Below are 19267 nucleotides of genomic sequence, written 5' to 3' on the forward strand. Positions count from 1 at the left end.
TCAGAGTTATGTACTTCATTGTATATTATTATGATACATTATTCCATCGAATATTTATTTAAAATGCCTATATGTAGGGTAACCTTAAAAACAAATACCTCCTATTAGAGAAATTGTAGGGGTAAGTTACCTACCATAATTTGTTTGTCAGGCACAGTGCTATGTAAGTTCTGCTTTTAAATAACACATAGCTATTTAACCATCATGGAAATGTTATGAGGAAAGTATTTCTTATTTTTTTAAATCTTTCATGATGAGTCCAAAGTTTTAAAAGGAGATGTCAGGACCCAGATCTAAGCCCGGGGCATTTTTCACTACACACGTTGCATTTAGTTAAACAACTCACTAAAGCAACTGGAAGCTTAAAAACTCTGAAGATGGTAAAAATGTTATGGACTTTGGCAACAGAAATTCAGCAATAACATTCAAGAGGAACAATTCTAAAGAGAAGGGAAATGGAAAATGTGATCGTATATTGATTGGATTGTGAAGTTAGAGAGAACTACAATCCTGAAAAGCAGATCTTTCAGAATATGAAAAGGACTGTTTCTATTCATAGCCTGGGCTCTTGCTCAGTATAGGCAAACTATGGTAGTGTGGTAGGGGTGCAGGGTTTATATGAATATAATAAAATATTACCTTTTAATCTATCCAGGCAATTATCTCTATTCCTCATTTCTTGTCCATAGCTATGGCTTGTGCCATCCAAATAATTTAAGTTTTATTCTTCTAAAAGATAATTTTATCTTTTATCAGCTATTGATATTTCTCATGTACACATTTCCATTATTTTATAAAATTACATTTGTATTCCATTGAAGCAATTTTAATATAGTGGGAAAAAACTGAAGCTTTTGAATGAGATAGTTTGCTTTAGGATCGTTGTTTTAGCTGAAATATCTTCAAAAACTCTGTTGCTAGATAATTTCCAATCGATAGCATACGTGTTAGGAAATTCATAATATAATTTATTCATCTTAAATGTATTGAACTACATACTCATTAAATTTTTACAATGATATGTCTATTAAAAAAAGGAACAATGACTATTTAGACTCATAAAAAACCTACCACATAATTTACTAAACTGTTTTCTTCATTCAATACCTAAATTCTGAGTAATGCTATGTGTAGATGTCCTAATGAGTATTAATAACTTATGCAAGTAAAACATAAAATAATATTATCTGATTTTAAGAAGACATGAATATTGTTATAGACGGTTTTACTTTTGTGTCATCTAAAATAATTACATGTTCCTTAAATATACATTGAAACTAATTATAAACTTACTAAGATACTTTTAAAAAATAACATTTTTCTTGTATAATGCATCTTCAATTTTCAGTAGTTTTCTTTTCAAACTAAGGAAGTTCTAACATTTAACAATACTTACGCTTTGAAAACATTAAGAGAATTGTTTTTCTTTAAATAACTAATAGCCTTCTTCAATGAAAATCACATGAAGAGAAGGAAATACTTGGAGAAAACCTTAAACCTCACTCATATGGAATTCCCAGGGATAATCACTCAGGATATTTAGAACAACAAAAAGTAAATTTCTATGATAACAAAATCTGATTTGATTGACTTTGGAGGGAATTTGACATCTTTTATCATAAAACTTTAGCAACACTGTCAAGATAAATCTTTTATAACTTCTGTGAAGTATTATTATATGTGAATCTCAGAAGCATTTTAATTTGTTTTTTAATACCTTGTTGCTTTCGTGGATCATAAATCTGAAGCCCAAATAGGGGTGGTCTTTCATGCCTCAGCAATGTCACCTCACTTGTTATCAAATCTAGTTGAAAAATGGAACCATTCATATAATCAGTCCAGAACACATAATTTCCATGATGCGACAGTCCGAAAGGGTGGTTCAACTCTCTCCCACTGTAAACAATCTGTAAAATATAAACACATTGTGAAAAATCAGAACTGACCTTTAGAAACATAACTAGATATTTAGAGAAAGTGATATTCAATAAGTATAACAGATAATAATCTCATATCTTAACTCATTTTCTCTGATAGATTTAAAAAATGGATTTCACAATGTGAGCATATTTTTTGTTTTAGGGCATGCTATTTGAAGGAAACCATCTATTTTATCTAAACCATTTATTATTTATTATTAAACCATCTATTTTATCAATGTAAATTCTTTCATCTATGGCACGAAAAATACGGTTAAGAATGCAAATACTAAAATGAATTTTCCCTACTCTCATTCCTGTTCCTTTTGCTTATGATATTTCAGTATCATATCCTGGGATAGAAATCAGTCTGAATAATCATGTGTATTACAAAATTGCTCTTCCAATAACCAACAAATAGAACATGTTCAAACAGCATTGGGAGTCAAAAGGATCCTCCTACTTTAATTGAGCCAATGCAAATTGAAGAAATCTTGGATCTGGCAGAAAAGATGGTAAAGATTTTAATTTAAACACAGACACATTTATTATTAGTAAATAGATAAAAACTCACTGGCAAGTTAAATTCTGATTATGTTAATATATTCATTTACATTCTAGTTATATTGTTTTGTTGTTCCTTAAATGGAGGAATCATGTGATAAAAGTTTAAGTCCAGTTTCACATGTAGGATTTTAGAAGGGGAATAAATTATACCTCAATAATGAGAATACTTTTTCACCTTTTACCATAAATAAAAACATACTGAATACAAGATGAAAAAGATTTTGTATTCACTTCATTTAATATTAGAGAATTGAGAAAATTATCTAAATAATTTAGGGTCATAAATTTAAATTTTGCTCCTTTTAACTGAATTCTTCTCACCAAATTATCATACATTGAATAATTGACATGGTTTCTTAATTTTTTTCTCACCTTTATGTAGGCCAAAATGTGCTGGCCATGAAAGTATTATGTTTATTGTTTACATACCAACATCTTCTAAGGAAGCATAAAGATTTATCTAGCACCTGTTAAGTGTGTGACATTAGGTTCAATGCCAACCAATTGTACTTATTTGGAGAAAATATTTACAGTATTGTTAGCATCAATCAACAACAGAGCAGTCTTAACTGATTAGTGTAGTATTTCTTTCTAAAACAGAATCCATAATGAGTAGGCTTAGCCAAATGTGCAGGTTTTCTTTCCAAAAAGAAAAGAAATGTAACTTAAAGGAAGCATTTTGGTCATTTCTAACATCCCCTTTTTCTATTGTTCGACTCACAGTTAAAGTCAGTTATTGGTGTTATTTGTAATTAGATTACTAAAACATGAAATATAGAGGTTTTGTTTTGTCAACTATGCCTCTGTCTCACAGCCAACTGCATCATCCTCAATTTTACCTAAGAATTTCAAAATCATTTTGCAGTTACTCTAGCAAAAAAAGCAAGAGGAAACTGATACCTCTTCATACCAATAAGCTGGAAGTTCAGCTCATTCCTACTATGTGTTTAAGTTTCAATGTCACCAAGTTACTTACTCAACTAAATACAATGTAATTACTTCCTCGTAATACATAATGTTAAACTTCAGCTCAAAATATTGAACATATTTTAATAGAGTGGGGTTGCTTGGTTATAGAAAACTCATCAATAATGTAGAAAAACTGCATTTTAAAACAGCTCTGATATCCTGAGAGCTGCTTTTAGAAATCCCACAAATCCTGGCATACCACAGTGAGCTGGGCCTGGTCTCCCAGAGGCAAGTGCCAGCTGCACTACTTAATGCTCAGCCTGCTTCAGCCACCCCATGGAGACTATTGGCAGCCACCTCAGAGGAGTAAAAATAAACTTGAAAGTATTTTTAACACAACACAACAAGGCTCTGTGAAAAAAAGAAGCCTGTGGGTTAAAAACAGCAGCATTTGTCTTTTACCTTCCTGTGAGTCCCATTCAAAAATACTTTTTCAATATGATCGTAATAGGCATCACACCAGTATAATGTGTTGGTGTGAAAGTCCAGAGTTAAACCGTTTGGCCACAGCATCTTTGAAGTCACAAAAATCTGCCGATTGAATCCATCCATCCAGGCCTTCTCAATCCTTCCCACGCTGTCATCTATTTCATCTTCCTCCCAGTCTGTCCAATACATCCAACTAAGACATTAAAAAAACAACAAAAATGCATACATGTTATTACAACCAGCCACAGTATAGACACTTCCTCAGATTTGGCAGTTCCATAAATTCTAGTTTCATTCTGATTTGTCCTCCTATCTAAGTGCTTATCTGTCAAAGAGGGGGGAGCTGTGAAGTTTTAAAGAAAGCAAAGATTTGTTTGGTAGAACTGTGCATTTACACTTATTACAGAAAAGCCAACTACCACCACTATCGCACTTACTGGCTTCATGCATTAATGAACCTGACAGTAAGTGCCAAATATCTATTTTTGGGGGCTGTTGATACCAAGTAAAGGAAATGATTTTCTGGGTCATTACTATTTTAAATGTTGTCCACTTCAAAAAGTATATAATCAATTATGTGATTAAAAAGCAGATTGACTGACATGAGAACCCACGGCACAGTTAATGATCTACTCCAGACTTTATTTAATCTCAGATGAATTATGATTCTTTAAGACAGGTAATTGGACTGACTTTGTTCTAAAGGGCACTGTCATATTGGGTTTGTTTGGCTAGGTCTAATTTGTCTTCCTGATGCAAATCATCTATGTTTTATTGCTGCTTATTATTACCCCAAAATCTACAGAAGATGATTTAGCTGCACGTAAGTTTAGTAATAGCAAGTTGACTGACCTTGAGATTTTGAGCTTTAATGTCTATCTCAAACAAAAGCATCTGCCTTTAAAAACAAATCTTTTGTAAAGCTCTAACAGTAGGAGAGGGGGTCTTGAACTAATGTTCCATTTGCCTCATGAATGAGGTTAAAACCCACCACATGTGTTGTTTTAGGGTCATGTGAAAGTTCCTGAGTTTATTAATTAAAGTGTAGGTTTAATCCAGTCATCTCATATACAACTTTATAAAGTCTCAAATCTTTGCTAAGCTGCTGACCCTTGAAATACCCTTATTAGATCCCCTGCCTCCCCCATTTTGTAGACCCTAAGAATTTCTAAGTGCATTTGGAAAAAGTCTGTCACCATGACGAAAAATCCTACTGTGATCTAAGCTGGCAGACTTGGGAAAACTGAGGATGAACACACTACCCATTATTTCATACCAATTAAGCTCTTTTTAAATTCTCTTAACGGTTTCCAGTTATGTTGATATGCCCTTTTTAGACCCAAGGAACTATATTGAGACTGTTGAATTGTATTAATCCTAGAAATAAACATGGAAATATTTCTATATTGTATCTTGTAATTCCTTAAAGTGATTTTTTAATTGGGACAACTTAGTAACAAAAAGGATAGTCATTCTATTTGCTGTAATTCTATGTAGTTAGGTATAACTACTTGACATCAGCTATATAAATTAACTATATAAAAGTGAAATATGCAATCTTTTCATCTCTATTGATATTTTCCTGAAATTTTCTTATATACAGTTAATCAATACGGTTTTATTTTTGTTCATTTATAACATTAATATTGCAGTTATCTTACCCTATAGCTTCTCCTTTTGATCATGGCAACATGTTTTTTTTTTCTGTGACTCAAATCACACATACATGTGCCTGTGTATACAGAAACACACACACGCACACACGAGACAGAGATAAATCTGGATATTCTAAATATACTGCATATTTTACTATTTGAGAAAAGGAATTGTTCGCCAACTGATCCAGCACCTAAAATTATTTTTATTTAAACAAAATATAAGAAAGTTATTTTTCTAAGTAATGCCAATCTGAGAGAGGTTACATATATATATATGTATATATGTATATGCACACACACACATATATATATATGCTTAAATATATATTGTGGGCCAGGCACCATGGCTCATGCCTGTAATCCCAGCACTTTGGGAGGCTGAGGCAAGCGAATTGCTTGAGCCCAGGAGTTTGAGACCAGCCTGAGCAACATGGCAAAACCCCATCTCTACAAAAAAAATACAAAAAGTAGCCAGGCACGGTGGCCTGTGCCTGTAATTCCAGCTAGTCTCAAAGCTGAGGTGGGAGAATCGATCACTTGAGTCCAGGCTATCGAGGCTGTCGTGAGCCAAGATCATACCACTGCACTCCAGCCTGGGTAACAGAGTAAGATCCTGTCTAAAAAAAAAAAAAAAAATTATGAAAGCTTTACAATCAATACCAGTACCAAACAATGAGAATTCTTAAACACACAGAATAGAAATATAACCTATTAAATAAGCAGGAACTAATACAAGTATTTTTTCTAGGTGGGACTCCGTGTATTCTTCACATAAAACATAGGTTAATCTGGCCTTCTGCTAATATAGCAAGAAAAATTCTACCCTTTATTTCAAGGCCTGTTTGAATGTAATTATCTGATGAAGTCTATCCCCAGCCTTTCTGGAGATGAGTCAAAATAAGCTCTTTCCTCTGTTTCTTAGTAACACTGTCTAGTTTTAAATAATATGTATTGCACTTATTCCTTGTATATAGGGACAGTTGGTAGGAAGACATGACAGGGATGCAGATATTGTCTCAATGAAAAAAATATTCTATTAATCAGAATTGCCTTCAAAGAGCTTGAACTATGTAGATGCTATAGGTTTCTAATATAATCTGGATACCTACAAACTTGGGAGACGTTGAAGAGGATTTCTAAATTTGATGAGAGAGATGGAACTAGTGGGCTCTGAATTTTCTTCTAAATTATATGTTTCTATGAATTCCACATTTATGTCATCTCTTGGGCACAACAAAGACTCTTTAGCTCTATCAGAAAACATTTTCTCTAACAACAGTGAGAAAGAAGATGCTGTTTTAAGATAGATTTGAAATTTCTTTCTTCAGATAGATTTGGACAGTGTGGAACAAATACTCTCTTCAAAAACTAAGGCTGGTTTACCAGATGATTATATAATCCAAACATAAAATCACCAAAATTACTTTATAATTATGCCCTATGAAACACTTACAATGAGTTCACTCACTGCCTAGGAACCCTGGTTGTATTTGGAGCTACTCTTAACACAAACAATTCTAGGAACCGCAATTTGGTAATCTCGGTTTATAAGGGATTCACATGCCTCCTATACAATATGTATTTTTTGTATGTGTGCAGTAAAGTGTAAAGAAAATCTATTTTTTGATGTCTTGAAACAATAATATGTAAGCCATGGAAGGAAAAACACTCCAAAAAACTATACATGTAAAACATTCAATAAAATAACATTTTTAAGTTATAAAATACTATGAAAATTTCCATCTTTGATATTTCTATAAGTACAGTTTTGCATTCAGGTAATAGCGCTGATTAAAAATCAAAAGAAAACATATTACCAAGAATTGGACAAAATATTTCATTCTAAAACAAGTAATACATACTATAAAATGATGTCCCTATATGGAAATTACGGTGGTATCTAAAATTATGTGGTTGTCACCCTAGACTAATAAAAAGTAGTGAAGTTTAGTGGCTAAGAGTAAAGTCATATAGACAGGCTTCCTGGGAATAAATGTAGACCCAGTCTTTTACTAATTGAATAGTGATTGGCAAGACAGTTATCATTTTCAACTTTATAAAGCAGGGATAAGAATAGCAACGAATTCAGAGGATTATTGTAAGGGTTACAAAATAGGGTCAGAGTAACCCATTTAATAAAACGTCTGACCTCTAGGAAATGTATAAAACTTTTGCTATTTTTTTGAATACACTAAATTTCAATAGCCTTTAAAATATAAAATGGATTGATTCTCTGGTTGAATTGATTATTTATCTTGGTGTCAGGCTGCTTAAAGTACAGAATTATAGTGCTAATTTTGAATAAATCAAGTAATACATCTTTGCGCAGTAATCTAATTCAGGTCAATGTATTCTGACATGTTTCTTTAGTACATTCTCTAGTACAGAAAAACCCTTAAATGTGTAACTTTACCCACTAAGACCATTTGTGTGGAAAATCAGCTATACATATGGATTTAAATAAAACTATTATTAACTATGTAAGAAACAAATTTATCTATTATCATTTTTCTTATATAAAGCTAGTCAAATATTGCATACCCATTAACTGGATCCACCACAATTCCTCTGGGATGAGACATTTCACCCTCTAAAAGAGTCTTCCGACTCTGAGAAGCTTTTTCCAGCCTGGCCACATTAATGGTTTTCCTATGGCCATCATTGGTCCAGTAAAGATTATTTCCAATCCAGTCCACAGCAATGCCCTCTACATTATCCAGATCTATAAAAAAAGCAAAAACAAGAAAGAAATTGCTTTTACAACTATAGTAAAATTAGTGTTCACTACTAATAGCTACCTAATAAAAACTTTAGTTCAAAAAGGAAAGAACTCTGATCCATGAAATCTTTATGGTGTAATTTTTGCAAATGTCACTATTCTATAGAATATTTTTCAATTTTATTTTGAATGCCTTTTTATGTGAATAATAGGCCCTCTCTCAATTGTACACAGTGTTAACAAATTAATCATGGTCATTAACTCAGATTTTAATTGAACTTCAATTTATTGTAATTCAGTGATCTGCAGAAAAATGGGAACATACAAGTGATAGGAGCGAAAAAGCTTGAATATAAGTGACAAATTCAGCAATGTAGACTGTTCTGAAGAAAAATCTACTAGTACTGTGTCAGCATGTTCAAACTTGTAATATGTAATCTGAGTAATCGAAATAATATGAATGTCCTCTTGCCCAAGGATGAACAGTTTCAGCAGGGGCACAAGTATGAAAGCCCAGGACAGGCTTTCATCCCAGAACTGCATCAACAGTCAATCTCAAGGAATCGCCAAAATACTTCTCTTTGTTTTAGACTTACCTTGCAAAGAATCCTATTACAGGATTATATGAGATACAGGCAGTGATAATTCAAATGTAATAGACAAATAATAATCCTTGGAGTTCACCTAATTCAAACCCTTTATTTTATAAAGGGGGGGTAACTAAAACTTCAAAGTGAAGGCAGTTACTTATGGTCTATTATCATTCACGAAGCAGTAGCAATTGGATAAATATCCAAGCCTTATGACCCACAGTGTGGAAACCCTCAAAACTGCACGGTTCCTAGGGTGAGTTTCTGTAGCATCCTGTCTTCATCCACACTTCAGCCTACAACATTACAACTACGATTCCATTCTTCTGTTGCATGAAAAATGGCTGTGAACTCCTTCTTTTCTCTCAAAACCAAGGTAGAGTACATAGACTTCCTCTTTTCCTTTTTGGCATGAGTTACAGAACTGGAATTTACTGGACAAAGGCAATAGGTAGTATATATTAGAGAGGGAGCTCTGTATTCACACACTACAAGGAAATCTAGATCACATTTCCCTGTATGCAGACACAATGGATATTTACTATTATCATGTTGTTTAATCATGGTCTTTCTGGCTCAGGAAAAACAGTAAAATTTTCCCTTGTAACCCTTGTTGCTAATCAACATGTGTTGTGATTCAGAATGACTGGTACAAAATGTGATCTGATCTAACTGAAAATTCCATTACAGTGAATCAGATATGTTCCCAATTTCGCTGAGCTATCTGCTTCATTACCATCCAATATAAGTAATTTTCATAGGTTAATTGTGCCTATGCTTAGAAAAAGAAGTTTAATTTTGCCTTCACTTATTGACACTTAATTTTCCTGAGCACTTTCCTATTCTGGTATAATGGAATGAGAGTAGTTATTTACCCTTTTCTATTTATTATAGTCTATAGCTGGTTTTTGTTAGTTGGTTTTCAAAAATTGAATTACATGTGAAATCTGCCCCAGTACAAAAAGTCTTCATGCTGGATAACCCTCTTATTTTTGAAACTTTTCCTTTTAACATATGACTTGAGACTTATTTTTTTCATATGAAGCAGTTACAATGCTGTATGGATGAAACTTTTGTTTCTGACACTTGGGTAAGCAAATTCAGTGACGCATCAGGAAAGTGAAGATTATCATAGCACCTATCTCATAGGATGATTACAAAGGGCAAGCTATTAATAGCTACTGCATGTAAACATTTAGCATATTTCCTGGAATACAGTAACTTCTCAGTTCATGTTAGTTTTTATTAATTTATCAGGATTAAAAAATATTTTATATCTCTTCTGTCTCTTTTCTTTAAGGGTACTACTTGATAGGATTGTATCTTTTGTTTTTCACCTTTAAAATGCTTTTTCTATAATATTTTCTTGCATTTTTACCAGTGACTAACTTTAACTAAAAATAGTATATAAATAAATATATGTGATGTTCTTAATGGTTGGCATATACTAAATAATATATAATGATTATTATTATTCCTGTAATAATATCATTTTAATTTCTGTATAATCTTTCCTTAGGCTAGGTATCTAGTCTATTAAGACAGTAATAAAGGAATTAGCCTAGATTATTTTTTAAGGTTGTTTTCTGTTTGTGCTTTGATTTTTTTTTCTGTTATAGGGAGAATGATAATGAATAAAAATTTAAAAATAAGAAAATGTATAAAAAGATCTATGAGCAAATTGGGAATCTTTTTAGGTTATCTTTAATGGGGCAGGGAGGAATTTCTCTCTTGCAGAACACAGCTTGAACAATCAATTAATTCCTTTCTCCACAAATATACATTGATAAGGGAAGCATTCTGCTTCCACATTATTTGGTCTCTGCTTTAAATTAACTTATAAATTAGATGGAACAGTTAGACATATAGAACATCAGTCTTATGTACGTTTGATATTTTATTCAAAGGGGTCTGGTTGGGTCCTGCCTGAGACTGACTAATAATGACTCTATGAACAAAAGCCCTTTAAACAGATCAGGGACACATGAAGGTTGTGGCATTCAAAGGCCAAACAAACATCAGTGACTACAGAGAGTCTAATTATTAGCTTGAGGAAACACATGATATTAAAATGCAAGGAAGATGTTTGATAAAGAAAAACTTGGTAGAGTAGATTTCTTTGTATACTTTGGGATAGAGTTCAAGTATTCTACATTATAAAATTCATATTTTCTACTATTTATTATTATTATTGCATAACTAATAGCAAACAAGAGCATGGCTATTTTAAACATCTGGTCAAAATCTCCCTTAGCTTTCACAAAATACCCATTTTCATGCATCAATAGGCAAGGAGTTAACATGTTTGTACTTCTTAAGAAAAAAAAATTCCAGTAGATAATTATTTCTTGTAAACTTTGTTTAGATTAATATTATGTCTGTATTTTTCATGCTAAGTGAAGATATTGCACATTTACTCATACTCAGAAAATAAACAGCCTTTTCTTGCATTCTGAAAACTTAAGAATATTATTTTTCTCAAATTATTATAATTTCTACAACATGTTATCTTTGTTCTAGTAATTTCAAAATAACTTATATGAATGGAGTAATATATAAATAGTGCATTAAACACCCACACACTCACATATCTCATTCAAATTTAGGATTAATAATGAAGTGCGTGGTTTACTTAAGTGAAAAATTCCTGATGTTAACAATATTACTTCCTATAAGAGACACCTACCACTAAGGAAATGAGGATAAATAACATATAATAAAATTTATGTAAATTTTAAAAGAATAATGATGTGGATTTAAAAAGAATAAATAGGACTGTTCTTCAAATGAATGTAATACTTTAGACTAGACCAAATAAACATTTTTAAAGAGAGTGGTTTTGGGAGAAAAACATATTTCTAAAATGAAAACTTCATTACAGGTCTGATTTTTAGATATTATACATTCATGGAACAGAAGACTAAAGTTTTATATACTTAAAATATAATTGCCTCTTTTTAAAATGGGTCCATGATTTTTAAAAGAAAGGATGTGAGCAGTGGCCTTATTTTTGTTATGGCACATGAGCTGGACCTCCAGAAATGATCCATAGATCTTGATGCTTTACAACAGAATTTGAGGCATATAATAAGAAACTGACTAAAAATTATACCCAAAAATGGCCATTATAAAACCATAGTTTCTACATTTTTCTACCTTATACAAGTTTATCCAGTGTTATCTATCCTTAGCATGAACATTATTTTTCTGAGTTGGAACGGAAGTGTCTACGTGAGTACAGAGTATGGTAAAGTGCTTTAAATAATTAAGTCTGCATCATGCATGTAGACATGCCTAAGGCCAGCGATGCCTTACCTCACCCTAGAGTCAGCACTTGGACAACTTTCCTGTCTCCTATTCTTGTAGTTCAATTAATACATATTCTCTTTGTACATTTCAATATGGTCTGAGGCCATAAATAGCTCATATGTATCTGACATGAGGGAATGACATTGATTTAATTAATAGTGTAGCAGTAAAATTTGCTTGCTGAATAAGCTGTCTCATGGGGTTTCAAGGGTCTCTGGTCACAGACTAAAGATACCACCTGTCCCTAATGGCCAGCTGAGGCTGATATTTCTCAACCTCATTTTCATTCCAGATTTCTCCTTAGCTGTTAGGTCAAGGAGGGTGAATACACAAGCCATTCTCACTCAGAACAAAATACCTTGATGTTGTATTCAAAGAGATATGTAGAGTGCATATAAGGGTCTTATTTTCCAGAATAAACAGAATATATTAAAACATAGTGGTTTCCTTCCATTATCCAATGCAAACTGTCACTCTCAATGGGTCAGGGGATACAGATCATCACTCTATGACATTCAGTTATTTTATCTTTGATACAATGAAGACATGGACAAGTAAAGATAGTGTCATAGTATGCATCATAGTTACCAATAATCTAAAATGATGAATAAAATGAAAGATCAAGAATGGTTAAGGACTGAGATTTTTATCATACTTTCAAGCTTACAAGTTTGCCTGTTTTTGTTCCATGAATTCTGGTAGAAGACACAAGACTTGTGGATCAGATATAAAAGATTTTATTACTCATGGCACAACAAGCAGGATGGTCATCAGCAGATTGGTGTCAGTTCCCTTTACTTCGAAGTCCGCAGGAGCAACTGGGAGGGGTCCATATGGATGCTTTCATATACTGTGGGTGGCATTACAGGAGAAGAATTCTGAGTTTAGAAAATCCAAGCCTATTATAATGGGCAGTAAGAAGGCCTGCTGTTTTCACTGGCAAGTGACTGTCTCTTTCTCTCAATACTCTTTGCTATACAAGCATCTTTGAAAAGATACTTCTGAAGAAAAAACAGTAAGTGTCTTACTTTGAGACATGCAGAAATGTGAGAGATCCATGGAGAAATGTCTCACAATAAAAGGTCCTGAAAAGTCATAATCTGGTAGTCACTAATATATGCAGATAGATAGAGCAAACAAATTGGTGAGTGTATATGAGCACAAATAATAATGTCTGCATTCCAGGCTATTACTCTTATGGGAATTCTGCACTGATTTACACAACCACACCTAAAGCAATAAATGCAGATAGATAGAGCAAACAAATTGATGAGTGGATATGAACACAAATAATAATTTCTGGATTCCAAGCTATTGTTCTTATGGGAATTCTGCATTGATTTACACAACCATATCTAAAGCATATTGTGTAGCTAACTATGTGTGATGGTTAATTGTATGAGTCAATTTGGCTAGCCCATGGTACACAAATAATTGGTCATCAGTCTGGATGTTGCTGTAAAGGTATGTTTTAGATTATATGAACATCAGTAGAATTTGAGTAATAAGCAGGTTACTCTCTATAATGTGGGTTCGCCTCATCCAATCAGTTGAAGGCCTTAAGAATAGATTGGGATCCCCTGAGAAGGATGAAATTCTTCCTCCAGACTGTCTTTGAACTCAAGCAGCAACATCAGCTCTTTTTGGGTCTCCAGCCTGCTGATGTACTCTGCAAATTTTGGACTTTCCAGTTCCCATAATTGTGTGACCTAATTCCTTAATAAATCTTTTTTTCTCTGTCTCTCTATATATACATTCTGTTTGTTCTGTTTCTCTAGAGAATCCTAACTAGTACACAATGACCATGACTGTGATCTGAAAATGATTTTGCTGAATGGGCTGGGAAGAAGAAGGTCATTCTTCACATTCATCCTTTTCCGATAAAACACTGAAAAGTATATATTTCAGAGGACAAAATAGCTTTCAATTAAAGAAGCCCTAGAGATACGCAAGGGGCATATAGATCATTGTACAATATTCCACTAAAATTCTTTGGATAATATTAGAGTCTTCATTGTGAATGGGGAGAAAGTCATTTCCATTAACACCATTTTACTACCTAACTCTGCCTATCAAGAGAAAACAAAGCTAAAACTGCTTCCATTTTTGGAACACAATATATCACACCTATTCTCGAATATTCATTTTAGAACTGTGAAGTTTATAATTTATAAAAGTAAAACACTTTTGGTACCGATTTCATCAATAGTAAATTATTCAATCTCTTTCATATTATATGAAAAGTCTACCCTATTAGTAGTCACTTGGACAATTTAATTTCACAGAAGTTGACTTTTTATTAGCTATATTTTCTAATAGGTTTCATGTTTTTGCACTTGGTCCCTTAAACATTCAAAAAGTTGCATCAACTGATAATGTTTACTGAACTTTAAAAAAGACAAGGTATCATATACATGCTTAGAAATCATGTTTAGTGAAAAATACTGATCACTAAATTCCAAGTTGAGCTTAAAAGTTAGAGAATGTAAATCTTTATTATATTTACAATTACCATGGCATAGAACAAATGTGTTATCTCATGTGACCATACTCCTGGAGATAACCAGGCTAAATCAACCAAAACTATACTTGTTTCAGATCCACATAAATACGCAGAGAAAAAGGCTAGACAAATGCCTGTGTGGACTCTAGGTAAATGTGGTAAAGGAGGCCAAGTTCTTAATAATAATTTATCTAATAACATCTTTCCATAAATATCTAAGAAAACACACACAGTCATAACCCTCCTGGGTACATAGGTACTCTTACAAAACTGAAACAGTACATTGGGGCAAAGTCATAATAAAATTAGGCAGCAGCCTTGTTGTGAATTCAGTATGCTAGGAATAAAAGAAGCTACAAAACCATGAAGTTTAACTTGTACATCTACAAATAATGAAACAAAGACCCAGAAAAGTAAGTTGACTCACAAGGACCTATGATTAGTTAGTAGTCACTATAGCAAGTCTTGAAATTTAACTCATGTTCTAATGTGCCTACCCTGCTTTGTATTCAAATTTGACCTCTAGAATTGTAAAGAAAAAAAATGATAAATAGAGGAAGGAGTTGAAGAAAGTTTAACCTAGGCAAAGTTTCCTTGGAAGAAGGAAAAGTGGGGCATGGAAGAAGGGAGGGGAATAAAGCTAGAATAAGGTTACTACAGTAGAGGATGCTTTTGGTACAAACTTTCCAATCACAAAGACCGTATATAGTGAAAGTCTGCAAATTTTTTCAGATTTCTCCACTTTGATAACCTTTGGCAAATTGCCTACCCTTTGATACATGGCTTAAACTGGAACTTCAGCTTTTGCAAATGAAAATATGAATAATAATCAGTTCTCTCCATATTAGGATTAAAGGAGAGAATAAGAAGCAGAACAATGCCTGGCACATAATCAAATTCTCAATAAATGATACCTCTCATTTCTTACTAAAATACATCTGATGACTAACAATGTAGAGATTTAACAAATGTCCATATGAAGGGAAGTGAAATATTAAAAGAAAACATGAGGAAAACCTGGGGCACTGTTATAAGCTACATGAGAAGGACAAGACATAACTAAACTCATTATGAAAAAACGGCTGATATTTGAATAAAGTCTTTGATTAACAATATTGCATCAACATTAATTTTTCTAGTTTTGATAACTGCAGTGCAGTTTTGCAAGATGTTAGAAAAAGCTGTGTGAGGGCGCAATGGACTAAATGTTTGTGTCCTCCTAATTCACATGGTGAAATCCTCATTCTAATGTGAAAATATTTGGGGGTAATTAGTTAATGAGGGTGGTGCCCTCGTAAATGAAGTTAGTGCCCTTATAAGAAGAGACCAGAGAGCTCTCTAATCCTTTTTCCTTCATGTGAGGATACAGTGAGAAGTCATCATCAGTCTGCAACCTGGAAGAGGTCCCTCACCAGAACCTGACCATGCTCGCACCCTGATCTCAGACTTCTATGCTCCAGAATTGAGAGAAACAAATTTCTGTTGTGTATAAGTCACCCAGTCTATGGTACTTTTTTATGGAAGCCTGAATCAATTAAGACAGAGAAATATACAGAAATTCTCTGTACTATTTTGCAAATTCTTGACTAAAGTTACTTCAAAATTTATTTTTAAAAATATAATAAATTGCTTTGTAAATGCATTGTTTTTATATAATAGAAGATATCAAGGCTAGATGTAGCATTACCTGTAAAAATTAGTTTAAATGATATTAATAATATATTTTATAACAATTGTGGTATAATAAGATAAATAAATACTTATGATTCCACAGTAAAAGTATAAGAGGTATTAGTGAATAATAACTTATTCATATAAGTATATAGTATAAAATTATTCAAGGTAGATATGTATCTCTTAAAGAAAAAGAATCTAAAGCTGTGCAAAAAAAAATGAGATGTTGATTCAGAAAGACTAGGAAAGTGTGTTAAGACGGGTGTATTATGTGTAATCTAAAAATTGTAATCTAAAATTTTTTATTAAAACGTTACAGAAGTTTAAATAAATCAATAAAAATATGTAAGGTTTTACAAGATTCAACTGAAAATTCCTGAAAAATCATCCAAGGATGATTATTATAAGAGGAATTTCAGTAAAAACCAAAATGACTTTTCGAATGATCAAAAAATGATAAATTGATCTTAATTGTTTCTTATATTAGAACAAAAATCATCATTCTTTAATGATTCTTAGATCTTTTTAATCAGTTTAATTACTGTTTTTAAAGTAATGACAACTAAATTAAAGTACCCATTCATCCATCTAATGAATGTTTGCTCTATAGTTAATATGAGCCATGAACTGTTCTAGGCCCTAAGGATCTACCACTGAGCAAAACAAAGAAAATCTCTTACCTATTGAAGCTTACATTCTTGCAGCAAGGCAACAACCAAGTGAAACATACGCAGAATAATCACAAAAGAGAAAAAGGCAGGAAAGGGAAGAGAGCTGGGTTGGGTGTGGTGGCTGTAAGTAATTTTATTGGGCTGGCCAGAAGGGCTGACTGAGGAGGTGGTCTGCAGGCAAAGACGTCTAGGACTTACAGAAGAGAGGCATGGGGGCATCTGATGGAAGAACGTTCCAGACACAGAAACATGTGCAAAAGCCCTGAGTTGGGACCATGTCTAGGGTGTTCAGGGGATGAAAAGAGGATATTGGAGAAGAGTTACAGGGCTATTATAGGTTAAATAGCAGAAAAACAACTTAAATAGCCTTTTCCCCCTGTGAACTTAAAAGTCATTGCGTGGAACCCTTATGAGGTGATCATACCTAAAATTTTCATGAACAGCAGTGATAAGGTGGTCCCTTACTGTGACTTGTACTTATTTTCAAGGGTTTATTTATGGGTATTGGGAGAGGCAGTCCCCTGTGGGCCTTGAGTGTCCCTGTACATTCTTGCTGAGTTTGCCAGATTGTAAGGCTTATTTCTCTTTTGATACTGAACAATTTATCTTGCTACTCACATAGGCAGCTAAGTAAGTCAAGGGGACCACAGGGTGACTGCTGTGTAACTGCTAGCTCCACAGGGGAGGCAAACTACAGATCTTGCTGTTTGCATAATGCCGGCTGCTTTCTCAGAAAGTGCTGATCTCTAGGCCCTGGGATCCGCAGCTGTGGCACAACTCCCTGCTTGCTCAGCATTCATCCAGGCCTATCATGTCGCTCCCTGAGACTCCCGGGCAGGGTAACCAGTGCAACCATGCTGATACTCATGTGGTGAGCAATAAACTTCCTAAGTCTCAATGTCTCATTTTCTACTTTTGGCACCAATGCAGTGGCGGCAGGTTTATTCCCCACCATCCTTTATGATAGGGTTTCTCAGCTGTGGCATTACTGACATTTGGGAACTGAAGATCCTTTGTTGTGGAGAACTGTCCTGTGTATTGCACAATGTTTAGCAGCACATACCTCTATCTACTAGATTCCAGTAGCAACACCCTCTCCAGTTGAACCCAAAATAATTCTAGATAATATCAAATGTCCCATGGAAGACAAAATTATCCGTGTTCTATGAGGTTGGGGTTCTACCTTAAAAGTGAATGATATTTCTCAGACTCTTTGGTTCATTTTGATTCCTCTAAATGAGTTTTCTTATCTTGAAATGAAAAGTTACTTGCCATATATTTTTGGCAAAACTGCATAAGAATATTCAGTTATGTTTCTGTGGCTAGTACAGTAGTAAATACAAATTACTTTTTTCAAATATGCAGTCTCAGAATGGGTTCAGTTTCATTGAAATTCCACATATATAAAATACTTTGAAAAGAAAAATGTTAAACATGGCATGAATAGTTACACTGACAAACATTTTGAAAATGTTTGTCTCAGAATGATATTTTATGTATATCTCTATATCTTTTTTATCTTGAAAAAGGGTACTTTTTGTTTTTTACCTGAAATAATAGCGAGTTAAACCTTGCAATTTGAAATTCCTCTATTTAAGACAAATTACAAATAACTTAATAGCTAAAATATCAAGGTAATTTGTTTTGACAGAAAATATGCACATTCTTCTATGATTAACAATAAAGATTTATGAAAGCTCATTTTTATAACAAAGATAAAAGTGTCAATGCTGGGGATAGGAGTGCATTGCTATCCAGTGCAGGCAGATTTGTATTAACCAAAGAAAGGAACAGATGTGTATCAAAATATTTTATATGGTTATCAGACCATCACCACACATTAAATGTCCTAATATCATTACAATATATTTCTTCAAGTTATCTAAATATAGCATACTATACTACAGTAGATGCATATTTTGATGAGAACTCTGATTCTTTCCAATTGCATAGGAATAATAAAGAAAAAATAAAAGTTAATGAATAAAGAGAAAAGAGAATTGATAGGTGTTTAAGGAAGATCTGAGGTAGTCATCACTCATTTTTTTGAGGGAGGCAAAAAGTATGAGGATACACAATATTGTTTTTCTTAGTCTATGACCGAGTCTAAAATAAACCTGGTCTGAGTTATAAGAGAACATTTCTTAATTCCTATAAGCTCTAGGTCCCTAACATGAGCAAAAACCACAAACCTCCTACATATTCAGAATAATTGATATGAAATGTCTGGTAAATACTAGGAACTTCACAAATGCTACT

At 33.2% G+C, this 19267-nt stretch overlaps 1 protein-coding gene across 3 annotated transcripts in view; it reads right to left on the minus strand.

The window, feature by feature from the left end:
* The window catches only part of LRP1B (LDL receptor related protein 1B), a 1899594-nt gene that overhangs the window by 780416 nt on the left and 1099911 nt on the right, over positions 1–19267 (minus strand). For all 3 annotated transcript variants that reach the window (NM_018557.3, XM_017004341.2, XM_047444771.1), the window contains exons 12-14: positions 8084–8264; positions 3858–4077; positions 1718–1907 (exon numbers count right to left, since the gene is read on the minus strand). In NM_018557.3, the coding sequence (NP_061027.2) occupies positions 1718–1907; positions 3858–4077; positions 8084–8264 (591 nt within the window). The remainder of the gene's footprint in view (positions 1–1717; positions 1908–3857; positions 4078–8083; positions 8265–19267) is intronic.

Source organism: Homo sapiens, chromosome 2, assembly GCF_000001405.40.
Source record: "Homo sapiens chromosome 2, GRCh38.p14 Primary Assembly".
Lineage (NCBI taxonomy): Eukaryota > Metazoa > Chordata > Mammalia > Primates > Hominidae > Homo > Homo sapiens.